Source organism: Homo sapiens, chromosome 17 (assembly GCF_000001405.40).
Source record: "Homo sapiens chromosome 17, GRCh38.p14 Primary Assembly".
Lineage (NCBI taxonomy): Eukaryota > Metazoa > Chordata > Mammalia > Primates > Hominidae > Homo > Homo sapiens.
In genome coordinates, this window is record NC_000017.11 from 51106562 (window position 1) to 51120351 (window position 13790).

Consider the following 13790-nt stretch of genomic DNA (forward strand, 5'->3'; position numbering starts at 1 on the left):
CAAGGGAGGTGGGTCACTCAAGGTCAGGAATTCAAGACCAGCCTGGCCAACATGGTGAAACCCTGTCTCTACCAAAAATACAAAAATTAGCCAGGTGTGGTGGCAGGTGCCTGTAATCCCAGCTGCTCAGGAAGCTAGGGTGGGAAAATCACTTGAACCTGGGAGGCGGAGGTTGCAGTGATCCAAGATCAAGCCACTGCACTCCAGTCTGGGCAATAGAGCAAGACTCTGTCTTAATTTTTAAAAATAAAAATAAAAAAGTCCGGGTGCAGTGGCTCACGCCTGTAATCCTAGCACTTTGGGAGGCTGAAGTGTGCAGATCACAAGGTCAGGAGTTCAAGACCAGCCTGGCTAATATGGTGAAACCCCGTCTCTACTAAAAATACAAAAATTAGCCAAGCATGGCGGTGCACGCCTGTAGTCCCAGCTACTTGGAAGGCTGAGGCAGAAGAATCGCTTGAACCCGGGAGGCGGAGGTTGCAGCGAGCCAAGATCCCGCCACTGCACTCTAGCCTGGGCAAGAGCGAGTGCTCCATCTCAAAAAAAAAAAAAAAAGAAAAAGAACAGAGCCTGGCTCAATAAATATTTGTTCTTTCTAAGCATCTATGTTTCTGTTTATCTTTCCACCTACTTGGGGGAATGGGATAAGGTAGAACTAGAGAATCATAAAGTTCCTGTCCAGCTCTTTAAAAGAAACTGCAGGAAGGCCGGATGCAGTGGCTCACACCTGCAATCCCAGCACCTTGGGAGGCCAAGGCGGCAGATCATTTGAGGCCAGGAGTTTGAGACCAGCCTGGGCAACATAGTCTGACCCCCATCCCTACCAAAAAAAATTAATTAATTTAATTAAAACTGCAGGAAGAACAAGAGAAAACACACTTTAAAGGGCAATAATAGTCAGACACGGTGGCTCACGCCTGTAATCCCAGCACTTTGGGAGGCCAAGGTGGGCAGATCACAAGGTTAGGAGTTTGAGACCAGCCTGGCCAATATGGTAAAACCCCATCTCTACTAAAACTACAAAAATTAGCTGGGCATGGTGGCACGCGCCTATACTCTCAGCTACTCGGGAGGCTGAGGCAGGAGAATTGCTTGAACCCGGGAGGTGGAGGTTGCAGTGAGCCGAGATCATGCCATTGCACTCCAGCCTGGGCGACAGCAAGACTCCATCAAAAAAAAGGTTAAAAAAAAAAAAAAGGCAATAATAGATGTTGCATGTGGCTCACAACTATAATCTCAGTTACTTGGGAGGCTAAGGTAGGGGGATAGCTTGAGCCCAGGAGGTTGAGGCTACAGTGAGCTCTGATTGCAACACTGCTCTCCAGCCTGGGCAATAGCATGAGACACTGTCTCAAAAAAAAAAAGGGAGGGGGGCAGTAATAGAATCCAGAATCATAAAAATTCCAGGCCTATACCCCAGAGGAAATCTTATCAGCAGGTAAAAGAATTTCTCAGGCTCTATAACCCTGGCAGAGTAGGTAAACAAGTCAGAAACAAGATATCCTGGAAATACATGATTTAAGAAAAAAAAAAAAAAAAGATGGCCATGGGGCGGTGGCTGGTGCTGGTTATCCCAGCATTTTGGGAGGCTGAGGCAGGCAGGTCACCTGAGGTTGCAAGTTCAAGACCAGCATGGTCAACATGGCAAAACCCCGTCTCTACTAAAAATACAAAAATTAGCTGGGTGTGGTGGCAGGCACCTGTAGTCCCAGCTACTCAGAAGGCTGAGGCACAAGAATCACTTGAACCCAGGAGGCAGAGGTTGTGGTGAGATGAAATTGCACCACTACACTCCAGCCTAGGTGACAAAGCGAAAGACTGTCTCAAAAAAAAAAAAAAAAAATAGTTACTAGCAAAAATATTAAATATAGGGTCATTTTCTGTATTTCTATATCTCAAAGTTTCAAAAAGGGGAAAAATAATTTGTTTTCTTTTTGAGACAGGGTCTTGCTCTGTCACCCAGAGCAAGTGGTGCTGTGTGCCAGAGTGCAGTGGCACAATCAGGGGTCATTGCAACCTCAACCTCCTGGGCTCAAGGGATCCTCCCACCTCAGCGTCTCAAGTAGCTGGAGCCACAGGTGCATACCACCACACTCGGCTAATTTTTCTATTTTTTGTAAAGATACGGTCTCACTATGTTGCCCAGGCTGTTCTGGAACTCTGGGGCTCAAGCTATCCTCCTTCCTTGGCCTCCCAAACTGCTAAGATTATAAGCATGAGCCACTGTGCCTGGTCCATAATAGTTTTTATGTGATAATTTTATTTATTTATTTTTATTTTTTTTTGAGACAAAAGTTTCGCTCTTGTTGCCCAGGCTGGAGTGCAATGGCATGATCTCAGCTCACTGCAACCTCCACCTCCCGGGTTCACATGATTCTCCTGCCTCAGCCTCCTGGGTTCAAGCGATTCTCCTGCCTCAGCCTCCTGAGTAGCTGGGATTACAGACGTGCACCACCAAGCCCAGCTACTTTTATATTTTTAGTAGAGACAGGGTTTCTCCATGTTGGTCAGGCTGGTCTCGAACTCCTGACCTCAGGTGATCCGCCCGCCTCAGACTCCCCAAGTGCTAAGATTACAGGCATGAGCCACCACGCCTGGCCAATGTGCTAATTTTAAAACAAAATTAGCCAATTTTAATTCCGTTTTATATATTTCACATTTAAATTTCTTTTTCTTTTTCTTTTTTCTTTTTTGAGATGGAGTCTTGCTCTGTCGCCTAGGCTGGAGTGCCGTGGCACGATCTCAGCTCACCACAACCTCCACCTCCCAGGTTCAAGTGATTCTCTTGCTTCAGCCTCCGGAGTAGCTGGGATTACAGGCACACACCACCATGCCCAGCTAATTTTTGTATTTTTAGTAGAGACGGGGTTTCACCATGTTGGTCAGGCTGGTCTCGAACTCTTGACCTCGTGATCTGCCCACCTCGGCCTTCCAAAGTGCTGGGATTACAGGCGTGAGCCACTGCGTCCGGCCTCAAATTTAAATTTCTTATAGAAAAGTAACTAAAATGCAAACACTTCCTCCCAGATGAGTTTCATTAATTCATTATAAACATATTAAGAAGCTAGTTAGCTATATAATAACTGACACATACTGTGCTCTTAAAAATTAATTCAAATTAATATTAGATGATATTACAAAGGTTCTTTTTTTTCTTTTCTTTTCTTTTTGACAGAGTCTCACTGTGTTGCCCAGGCTGGAGCACAGTGGCATGAACACATCTTACCTCAGCCTTGACTTCCTAGGCTGGTGCGATCCTCCTGCCTCGGCCCCCCAAGTAGCTGGGACTATAGGCACACACCACCACACCACGCTAATTTTTATATTTTTTGTAGAGACAAGGTTTTGCTATGTTACCCAGGCTGATCTTCAACTCATGAGCTCAAGTGTTCCGCCCACCTCAGCCTCCCAAAGTGCTGGGATTACAGGCATTAGCTACTACACTCGGCCTTGGAAATGTTCTCAAACGTAAATAATATGGTGGTTATATGGCAGAATATTCTCATTTTTTAGGAGATAAATATGTTAAGTACTGAGAGGCAAAGTATCATAATGTCTGTAATTTAAATATGTTAAGTACTGAGGGGCAAAGTATGTCTGCAATTTAAAATGGTTCAGCAATTAAATATGTGTATGTGTGTATATGTGTATCCACACCCACACATCCACATATACAGACAGATAAATAAAACAACAACTACTGAATCTATATAGTGGGTATACAAATGACAAATGTACTTTCCATTTTTCTATATGTTTGAAAGTTTACCTAATAAAAAGCTGGGAGGGGTGGTGGTGGATTTACTGAAAAAGTTTACTAACCTTACAAAAAAAAAAAAAAAACCCTAGCTGGACGTGGTGGCTCACGCTTGTAATCCCAGCACTTTGGGAGGCCGAGGCAGGCAGATCACTTGAGCTCACAAATTCGAGACCAGCCTGGGCAACATGGTGAAACCCGTCTTTACAAAATATCAAAAATTAGCTGGGCGTGGTGGTGTACACCTGTAGTCCCATCTACTTGGGAGGCTGAGACGGAAGGATGGCTTGAGCCCAAGAGGCAACAGTTGCAGTGAGCCAAGATCGCACCACTGCACTCCAACCTGGGCCAGACCTTGTCTCGAAAAAAATAACATAAAATAAAATTCTATACCCTCAACTTGGTACTTCTCTATTACATTAATATATAAATTCCCATGGTTCACCTCACACATTTTTGGGTGTGCCTATTATGCCAAACTACTGAATGCTGTAATTCTTAAGAAAATAAAACACAGTATGGCCGGGTGGGTGGCTCATGCCTGTAATCCCACCACTTTGGGAGGCCGAGGCGGGCAGATCACGAGGTCAGATTGAGACCATCCTGGCTAACGCAGTGAAACCCCATCTCTACTAAAAATACAAAAAATTAGCCGGGTGTGGTGGCGGGCGCCTGTAGTCCCAGCTACACGGGAGGCTGAGGCAGGAGAATCGCTTGAATCCAGGAGGCGGAGGTTGCAGTGAGCCGAGATCCCGCCACTGCACTCCAGCCAGGGTGACAGAGCAAGACTCCGTCTCAAAAAAAAAAAGAAAAGAAAACACAGTGCTATGTTCAAAGCAATAATCAAATATCACTGGTCAAGATTTCAAAGTAAAAAACAGAACTTATATATACCCATTTCCAAATAACAGCTTTTTAAATATATATAACATTACATACATTATTAAACTGGTCTATGCAGATATTTCTGACCACAACCTAATAACTTATTTAGATAACAGCTGTATTCATTGAGTGCAGAGCAGAGCAAAATAACTTGGGTAGGTTCTAACATCAGTTCTCCTGAGAAGCAAAGTTCAGTACAACATAAGTAAGCAGCATGTAGTTAAAGGTAAGGTAAAGATTTCAAGAAGCAGGAATCCTGTACTCTCTCAAGCACAGAACTGGATGTGTGACCTATGGCACACACTTCAGCAATCCAGTGAATAGTCAATCTACTAATCTACCCTCTGAACCAGTTTGGTACTATACCCAGTTTGGTGTCCTCTTTTGTGATTTTTTTTTGTTTTGTTTTTTCTTTTGAAGACACAGTCTCACTCTGTAGCTCAGGCTGGAGTTCAATGGCAAGATATTGGCTCACTACAACCTCCGCCTCCCAGGTACAAGTGATTTTCCTTCCTCTGCCTCCGGAGTAGCTTGGATTACAGGCGTCCGCCACCATGCCCAGTTAATTTTTGTATTTTTAGTAGAGACGGGGTTTCACCATGTTGGTCAGGGCTGGTCTTGAACTCCTGACCTCAGGCAATCCACCACCTCGGCCTCCCAAAGTGCTGAAATTACAGGCATGAGCCACCATGCGTAGCGTTCTTTTGTGATTTTTAACTAAATAAAAATATGAGTGTCACTACAGCAGGGACACATAATGGTATCTCATTTAGATATTCACATTCAGAAATCTCAAATTTAAAAAAAGATGTCTTAATCCAGAGCTAGTCTTTGTCTTTAAAAAAAAATGTCTTAGGAGCTTAAGTAATAATTAACTAACAAATTATTATTTCATAAAGCAACAACCATACCCCTTCCCATCCCACTCCCGCCAGAAAACAAACATAGATTGTTCATTTCAGAAAGTGTCTGAATGACTAGGTGCAGGGGCATATCTCTATCTACTCTGGCTAGGGGCAGTGTGAACATTATTCGAATCGTTAACCATGGCCAGGTGTGGTGGCTCACACCTACAATCCCAACACTTTGGGAGGCTGAGGTAAGAAAATGTCTTGAGGCCAGGAGTTCAAGACAAGCCTGGGCAACACAGTGTGACCCCATCTCTACAAAAAAAAAAAAAAAAAAAAGGCCAGGCGCAGTGGCTCACACCTGTAATCCTAGCACTTTGGGAGGCTGGGGCAGGCAGATGACTTGAGGTCGAGATCAAGACCATCCTGGCCAACATGGTGAAACCCCATCTCCACTAAAAATACAAAAATTAGCTGGGTGTGATGGCGCGCGCCTGTAGTCCCAGCTACTCAGGAGGCTGAAGCAAGAGAATCGCTTGAACCCAGGTGGTGGAGGTTGCAGCAAGCCAAGACACTCCACTGCACTCCAGACTGGCGACAGAGCCAGACTCTGTCTCAACAAAAAAAAAAAAAAAAAAAAAAAAAAAACTTTGGCAGGATCCACAAGGCAGGAGGATCCACTTGAGCCCAGGAGTTCCAGACCAGACTGGGCAACATAGTGAGTTCAGCTTGCATAACATAACGAGACCCTGTTTCTACAAAAAAAATTAAAAATTAGCCAGGCATGGTGGCGCATGCCTGTAGTCACAGCTGCTCAGAGGCTGAGGAAGTGGGATCTACTTGAGCCCTGGAGGTCAAGGCTGCTGTGGGCCATGATTGCACAACTGCACTCCAGCCTGAACCTCATCTCTAAAAAAAAGAAAAAAAAAAAAACCCAACCAAAGGAAAAAAAAATCACAAAAACAAACAGTTCAGAAAAAAAAAATGGTATTTTTAAAAATATGAAAAAATGTTGGCCGCTGCCGGGCGTGGTGGCTCACACCCATAATCCCAGCACTTTGGGAGGCCGAGGCCGGCGGATCACCTGAGGTTGGGAGTTCGAGACCAGCCTGACCAACATGGAGAAACCCCATCTTTACTACAAATACAAAATTAGCTGGCCATGGTGGCACATGCCTGTAATCCCAGCTACTCAGGAGGCTGAGGCAGGAGAATCCTTTGTATCTGGGAGGCGGAGGTTGCAGTGAGCTGAGATCGCACCATTGCGCTCCAGCCTGGGCAACAAGTGTGAAATGCCATATCAAAAAAAAAAAAAAAAAAGAAAGAAAAGAAAAAGCAAATAGGTTGGCCGGGCACAGTGTCTCACACCTGTAATCCCAGCACTTTGGGAGGCCAAGGCAGGTGGATCACCTGAGGTTAGGAGTTCAATACCAGCCTGGACAACATGGTAAAACCCCATCTCTATTAAAAATACAAAAGTTAGCGAGGTGTGGTTGTGAGCACCTGTAGTCCCAGCTACTCAGGAGGATGAGGCAGGAGAACTGCTTGAACCCGGGAGGCAGAGGTTGCAGTGAGCCAAGATCGCGCTACTGCACTCCAGCATGGGTGGCAAAGCAAGACCCCATCTCAAAAAAAAAAAAAACAACAACAACAAAAGAAAATAGGTTGGGTGCAGTGGCTCACACCTGTAATCACAGCACTTTGGGAGGCTGAGGTGCGAGGAATGTCTGAGCCCAAATATTCAAGATCAGCCTGGGCAACATGGGAAACCCATTTCTACAAAAAATACAAAAATTAGCCAGGCATGGCGGCATGATCCTGTAGTCCCAGCTATTCCGGAAGTTGAGATGGGAGGATCGCTTGAACCCAGGAGGCAGAGGTTGCAGTCAGCCGGGATTACACCACTGCACTCTGGCCTGGGCAACAGAGTGAGATCTCGTCTCAATCAATCAATCAAAAGATCTATAAAAATATTAAAATATGTGTTTTTTAGGCCAGGTGCGGTGGCTCACGCTTGTAATCCCAGCACTTTGGGAGGCCGAGGCAGGGGGATCACCTGAGGTCAAGAGTTTGAGACCAGCCTGGACAACATGGTGAAACCCCTTCTCTATTAAAACTACAAAAATTAGCCGGGCGTGCTGGCGCGTGCCTGTAATCCCAAACTACTAGGGAGGCTGAGGCAGGAGAATTGCTTGAACCTGGAAGGTGGGAGTTACAGTGATCTGAGATCGCACCACTGCACTCCAGCCTGGGCGACAGCACAAGACTCTGTCTCAAAAATAAATTTTTTAAAAAATGGGCCAGGCATGGTGGCTCATGCCTGTAATCCCAACACTTTGGCAGGCCAAGGTAGGCAGATAACAAGGTCAGGAGTTCAAGACCAGCCTGGCTAACATGGTGAAACCCCATCTCTACTAAAAATACAAAAAGTAGCTGGGCATGGTGGCTCATGCCTATAATCCCAGCTACTCAGAAGGCTGAGACAGAAGAACTGCTTGAATCCAGAAGGCAGAGGTTGCAGTAAGCCAAGATCGTGCCTCTGCACCCCAGCCTGGGCAACAGAGCGTGAAACTCAGTCTCAAAAATAAATAAAATTAAAAAATAAAATATCAAGTGTGGGCCAAGTGTGGTGGCTCACGCCTGTAATCCCAGCACTTTGGGAGGTTGAGGCAGATGAATCACTTGAGGTCAGGAGTTTTACACCACCCTGGCCAACATGGTGAAACCCTGTCTCTACTGAAAATACAAAAATTAGCCGGGTGTAGTGGTGCACACCTGTAATCCCAGCTACTCAGGCAGCTGAGGCAGGAGAATTGCTTGAACCTGGGAGGCAGAGGTTGCAATGAGCTGGGATAGTGCCACTGCACTCCAGCCTGGGTGACAGAGTGAGACTCTGTCTCAAAAAAAAAAAAAATTATGAATGAATGAGAACACTAAAACAAGAACAATGAATGTCAATACCTATTTTCCTGCCCATGAGTCTTACGGGTCCCATGTTCATACACTTCCAAAGACAAGAAGTGTCAAAAGTCTCCATTTAAACAAAAATCATTTTGTTACTGCTTTAAGTGCTGATTCCATGGGAACAAGTTAGAAAATTCTCAGTAGTGTCTCTCACCTCTGCATTCAGTCATCCTATTGTTTTGTTTTTTGGTAAGAAACAGGGTCTTGCCCTGTTGTCAAGGCTGGAGTGCCGTGGCCATGATAACTCACTGCAGTCTCAAACTCCTGGGCTTAAGTGATCCTCCTGCCTTAGCCTCCTGAGTAGCTAGGACTACAGGCTCACACCATCACACCCAACTAATTTTTTTTATGGTTTTTGGGGAAGAGGGGTCTCACTACGTTGCCCAGGCTTGAACTCATCCTTTTTTTTTTTTTTTTAAAGCAAAAGGCCACAAAAAAGCAGACACAAAATCACATAATCCATTCCCAGTAAAGATATTCTCTCTTCAGTCCATTCTCTGCATGTATGAGTCTATCTCAAAAAGGAGGGAAGGAGCCAGGCGCGGTGGTTCACAGTGGCAATCCCAGCACTTTAGGAGGCCAAGGCGGGCGGATCACCTGAGGTCAGGAGTTCAAGACCAGCCTGACCAACATGCAGAAACCCCAACTCCACTAAAAATACAAAATTAGCCAGGCGTGGTGGCGCATGCCTGTAATCCCAGCTACTTGAGAGGCTGAGGCAGGAGAACTGTTTGAACCCAGGAGGCGAAGGTTGCAGTGAGCCGAGATGGCACCATTGCACTCTAGCCTGGGCAACAAGAGAAACTCCATCTCAAAAAAAAAGAAAAGAAAAGAAAAGAAAAGAAAAAGAAAAGGAAGGAAGACAATGCCTCTTCGTTTTTATGTGTAATCTCCCTCTACTGAATGATGCTAAATGAGCTCTCACTTTGAGAATAACAGTGATAACATAAAAGACCCACAGAATCACTAAGAACTAAATTCCTAAAGGTTCTTTAAACTCGTATGTCTACTTTTCAGAAGTTTCTTTTTTTTTTCTTTTTTCTTTTTTGAGAGGTAGTCTCACTCTACTGCCCAGGCTGGAGTACAGAGGCACGATCCCAGCTCACTGCAACCTCCATCTCCCGGGTTCAAGCAATTCTTCTGCATCAGCCTCCCCAGTAGCTGGGATTACAGGCACCCACCACCACACCCAGATAATTTTTGTATTTTTAGTACAGACAGGGTTTCATCATGTTGGCGAGGCTGGTCCCACACTCCTGACCTCAAGTGATCCATCTGCCTCGGCCTCCCAAAGTGCTGGGACTATAGATGTGAGCCACCACACCTGGCCCTTTTTTAAAAGTTACAGCAAATCATGCCTGTTTTAAAAGAATCAGAAGTTGCAGAAAAACCCTAACATACCCAGTTATAACCTCTCTCTCCAGATCATTTTGTATCCAGATTTTTATTTTAAAAAATCACTGGGCTGGGGCACAGTGGCTCACCCCTGTAAGTCCCAACACTTTGGCAGGATCCACAAGGCAGGAGGATCACTTGAGCCCAGGAGTTCCAGACCAGACTGGGCAACACAGTGAGACCTTGTCTCTGTAAAAAATTTAATTAGCCCAGTGTGGTAACGCATGTCTGTGGTCCTAGCTACTCAGGAGGCTGAGGCAAGAGGATCACTTGAGCCCAAGAGATTGAGGCTGCAGTGAACTGTGACTGTGCCACTACACCCCAGCCTAGGCGATTGAGACTCTGTCTCCAAAAAGAATTTAAATTTAAAAGTCACTGATTTTAAAATAAATTATTCAATAGGTTCACAGGGCTTATTCTGGATAGAGTCAACAGGATGTTCTGGCTGAAAAAGTGAAATTGAAACAGAGTAGAAAGTGAGGAGCTAGCTATGTAAAATTCTAAGGAGAGCATTCTAGAGCATGGGCAAAGGCATCAGACGGGTCTTGGTTAAAGAATGGAGAGGTGTGTCACAGGCAGCCCAAAGGAGAGAGTGATGGGCGATAAGATGACAGATTTCTTGATTAGCATCTGAAACCGGTCCAAATCTATCTAAAATTAGCCCTTCTTTAGGTTGTTTTTAAAGAATCCCTAAAACAGCAGACTAGCTCCACACTAGAAATTCAAATAAAAGCAAAGGAAAAAGTCAGAAGGTATTCAAAATATGTCCTATCAATATAAAGATTAAATTTTTGATGCCTTGCTGAGAATTCCTGCAAGCAAGAGATCATAGCACCTCACACATTCCTAAAACATTCTATCTACATACCCACCTAAGTTTCCACAGAGGTGCTCAGAATTTACTTTACTCTCTCTGGTGATGGATAATTTCCATGCTTTCAAATCACTTTTGCTGTAAATACCCTGAGGCACTTACTTTGGTATAAAAGACTCTTGGTCTCCGCATTAAAGACACAAACAGGCCGGCACGGTGGCTCATGCCTGTAATCCCAGCACTTTGGGAGGCTGAGGCGGGCAGATCACGAGGTCAGGAGATTGAGACTATCCTGGCTAAAATGGTGAAACCCCGTCTCTACCAAAAATACAAAAAAATTAGCCAGGCGTGGTGGCACGTGCTTGTAATCCCAGCTACTCAAGAGGCTGAGGCAGAATCGCTTGAACCCGGGAGGCGGAGGCTGCAGTGAGTCAAGATTGTGCCACTGCACTCCAGCCTGGGTGACAGAGCAAGACTCCGTCTCAAAAAAAAAAAAAAAAAAAAAAAAGGCGCAAACAAAGCACTCACAGAAAACTAAACACAGAATTCACTCTACATATTGGCCAAAGGGAGACAATTTCTGGATACTGAGCAACACACAATTTATGATCTTATGTGAAAACTGATGGCCGGGTGTGGTGGCTCACATCTGTAATCCCAGTACTTTGGGAGGCTGAGGCGAGTGGATTGCCTGAGCTCAGGAGTTCAAGACCAGCCTGGGCAACAAGGTGAAACCCCGTCTCTACTAAAATACAAAATATATATACATATTAGCTGGGCGGGGTGGCACGTGCCTATAGTCCCAGCTACTCGGGCGGCTGAGGCAGAAGAATTGCTTGAACCCGGGAGGCAGTGAGCCGAGATCGTGCCACTGCACTCCAGCCTGGCGACAGAGAGAGACTCTGTCTCAAAAAAAAAAAAAAAGAGAAAAGAAAACTGATAACAAGGTGTGTTTATGTTTGTGGCCTGGGAGTGGGCTCATTTAGCATTTCATAAATGTTCTCTGTTCTCAGGTCATGACCCTTTGCCCAATGGTTTCACTATGGAGAATTTACAGATGTAACTGAAAAAATATAAACTACAAATAAATTCATTGGATAACCTATTTTTTTTAGAGTCATTTACTCAAGAAATTAATAGGGAACCCAGAGTCTAGCAGTCGGGCAATTTTGTTTTCTGATTCTGCAACCTGTGGCAGATGGTTTTCTTGGCACGTGTGACCCTGGCATTTTGCCCATATTTACACGGACTGACAGGAGTTTAAGGCTGGAGGGAGCATTTATTTTACGTGAGGTAAAAGGTCATGTCAGGCTTGCTTGTCACCTGTGTGTACATGTGGTTAATTCCCAGTCACTTCCATGTATATCCACACACTGGCAAGGGGCTATATGAGCATGAAGCAGCAAGTAGCACTTGACCTCTGTTCTATAAAGAGTGCTAACAAACAAGCGGAAATTGTGATCCTATCATTATTTGGTTTTTCATCCCTTCCTTCCCTATATGAAAGGAAAAGCTCTTGAAATAGTCCATTCTGGCGGGGTGCGGTGGCTCATGCCTGTAATCCCAGCACTGGGATGGTCAGCCCGAGGCCAAAGTGGGCAGATCACTTGAGGCCAGGAGTTCAAGACCATCCTAGGCACCATGGAGAAATCCTGTCTCTACAAAAAACAAAAATGAGCGGGGAGTGTTGTCCTAGCTCCTTAGGAAGCTGAGGCACAAGAATCGCTTGAACCCGGCAGGCAGAGGTTGCAGTGAGCCAAGATCACTCCACTGCACTTCACCCTGGGCGACAGAGTGAGACTACGTCTCAAAAAAAAAAAAAAAAAAAGGCAATTTTGTTTGGCAAATTCAATAGCATTCCTTTGAGAAAATTGGATCCCACAATCAGAACTAAAAATCATCACTACAGTCAAGCTTTTAAAAAAGGAAAAAGAACTATTTAACCAGATGCAAAGGTATACGTGACAAAATAAAACAAAAATTTAATGGTGTTACTATTCAGTGTCAGGAAATGAGCTACAAACCTCACATCCTAAAAACTCTTCAAGTCTTTTTGAAAAATACTATGTCATTCCTTCAATAATTAGTTATTTCGCCTCCTTTGATCACCATGTATTTAAGCAGGTGTGCTAGGTGCTTGAGAAACAAAAATAGGACACATCACCTGCCTTTGATAAGGTCCACAGAAATAACGCCAACGCAGGCTGAAAGCTAAACTCCTTGTCAGTCTCAAGAAGCCAAGGACCTATCACTTGCACCCTAGAACTCCAAAAGGTTCACAGAGTCGAGGTGAGGGCGCCCAGGTCACTGCTCGGGTGCTAGAGTTAACAGGTGGCCAAATGCACGTATAAACAGCAGTCTAAGAAGGAAACTCAGACGGAAAAAGTGTTGCCAACTGTCACCTACATCTTCCCAACCCCGCCCCCCAATCCTTTTTATAAATAAACGGAGGGTTTTTGAAGGGAACTGTCCAAGGTTACAACCTGATACGGAGGAATGCTTTGGTTTGGGATACCAACGAAATTGTTTATATATTTATTGAGTACTGCCACACAACATCTAAAAGTTGACAAAGTGTCAACCAAGGCACATAGAACATAAAATAAGACGTCTTTCTCAACAAGATTAAAACGTCAAGAAGAAACTGACCGAAAGAGGGAGATCTCTAACTTCCCAAAGCAAGGCAACCCCCTGGAAAGGTACTGGAACTAGCGGAAGTTACATATCCAGGGCAGAAGTGTCCCCCTCCCCAAGGGTAAAACTTTGAACCGCCATCTGACTATCCCACGGTGGTCGGAAACTTCCCTCAACAAGAAGCAACCAGACACCCAACAATCTCCGCCCTTGGCCAACCCCAGGTGTCCTCAGGCCAGGCTGCCGCTTCCTCCCCGGGCCCTGCCTCCTCCATCTCGCTCCCTTCCCAGGACACTCAGTAGCCGGCCTCGGCTTCCAACGCCGGCCTGGCTCCCGGGGTACCTGGAGGCCGCCGGGATCGGTCCCAGGGGGCATCGGCCTCAGGCCCGCCCTCCAGGAGGCCCGTCGCGCCTCTAGTCCCCGACCGGGCCGCGACCCCGCCCCGGCCGCCCCCGGAGACGGATCCCGCGGCCCCCGCCCTGCCGCCGGCCTC

General features: G+C 45.5%; 1 protein-coding gene across 5 annotated transcripts in view, besides 5 other annotated features; it reads right to left on the reverse strand.

Annotated features, from left to right (window-relative positions):
• SPAG9 (sperm associated antigen 9) overlaps positions 1 to 13790 on the reverse strand; it is a 158695-nt gene that overhangs the window by 144388 nt on the left and 517 nt on the right. The window lies entirely within an intron of this gene.
• Positions 10052 to 10111: an enhancer, noted in NCBI's record as "active region_12395". NCBI's record gives its function as "activates an Ori minimal core promoter by ATAC-STARR-seq in GM12878 lymphoblastoid cells {active_cell/tissue: GM12878}" and the evidence as "EXISTENCE:reporter gene assay evidence [ECO:0000049][PMID:35858748]".
• Positions 10222 to 10311: an enhancer, noted in NCBI's record as "active region_12396". NCBI's record gives its function as "activates an Ori minimal core promoter by ATAC-STARR-seq in GM12878 lymphoblastoid cells {active_cell/tissue: GM12878}" and the evidence as "EXISTENCE:reporter gene assay evidence [ECO:0000049][PMID:35858748]".
• Positions 10342 to 10441: an enhancer, noted in NCBI's record as "active region_12397". NCBI's record gives its function as "activates an Ori minimal core promoter by ATAC-STARR-seq in GM12878 lymphoblastoid cells {active_cell/tissue: GM12878}" and the evidence as "EXISTENCE:reporter gene assay evidence [ECO:0000049][PMID:35858748]".
• Positions 13560 to 13689: a silencer, noted in NCBI's record as "silent region_8721". NCBI's record gives its function as "represses an Ori minimal core promoter by ATAC-STARR-seq in GM12878 lymphoblastoid cells {active_cell/tissue: GM12878}" and the evidence as "EXISTENCE:reporter gene assay evidence [ECO:0000049][PMID:35858748]".
• Positions 13710 to 13789: a silencer, noted in NCBI's record as "silent region_8722". NCBI's record gives its function as "represses an Ori minimal core promoter by ATAC-STARR-seq in GM12878 lymphoblastoid cells {active_cell/tissue: GM12878}" and the evidence as "EXISTENCE:reporter gene assay evidence [ECO:0000049][PMID:35858748]".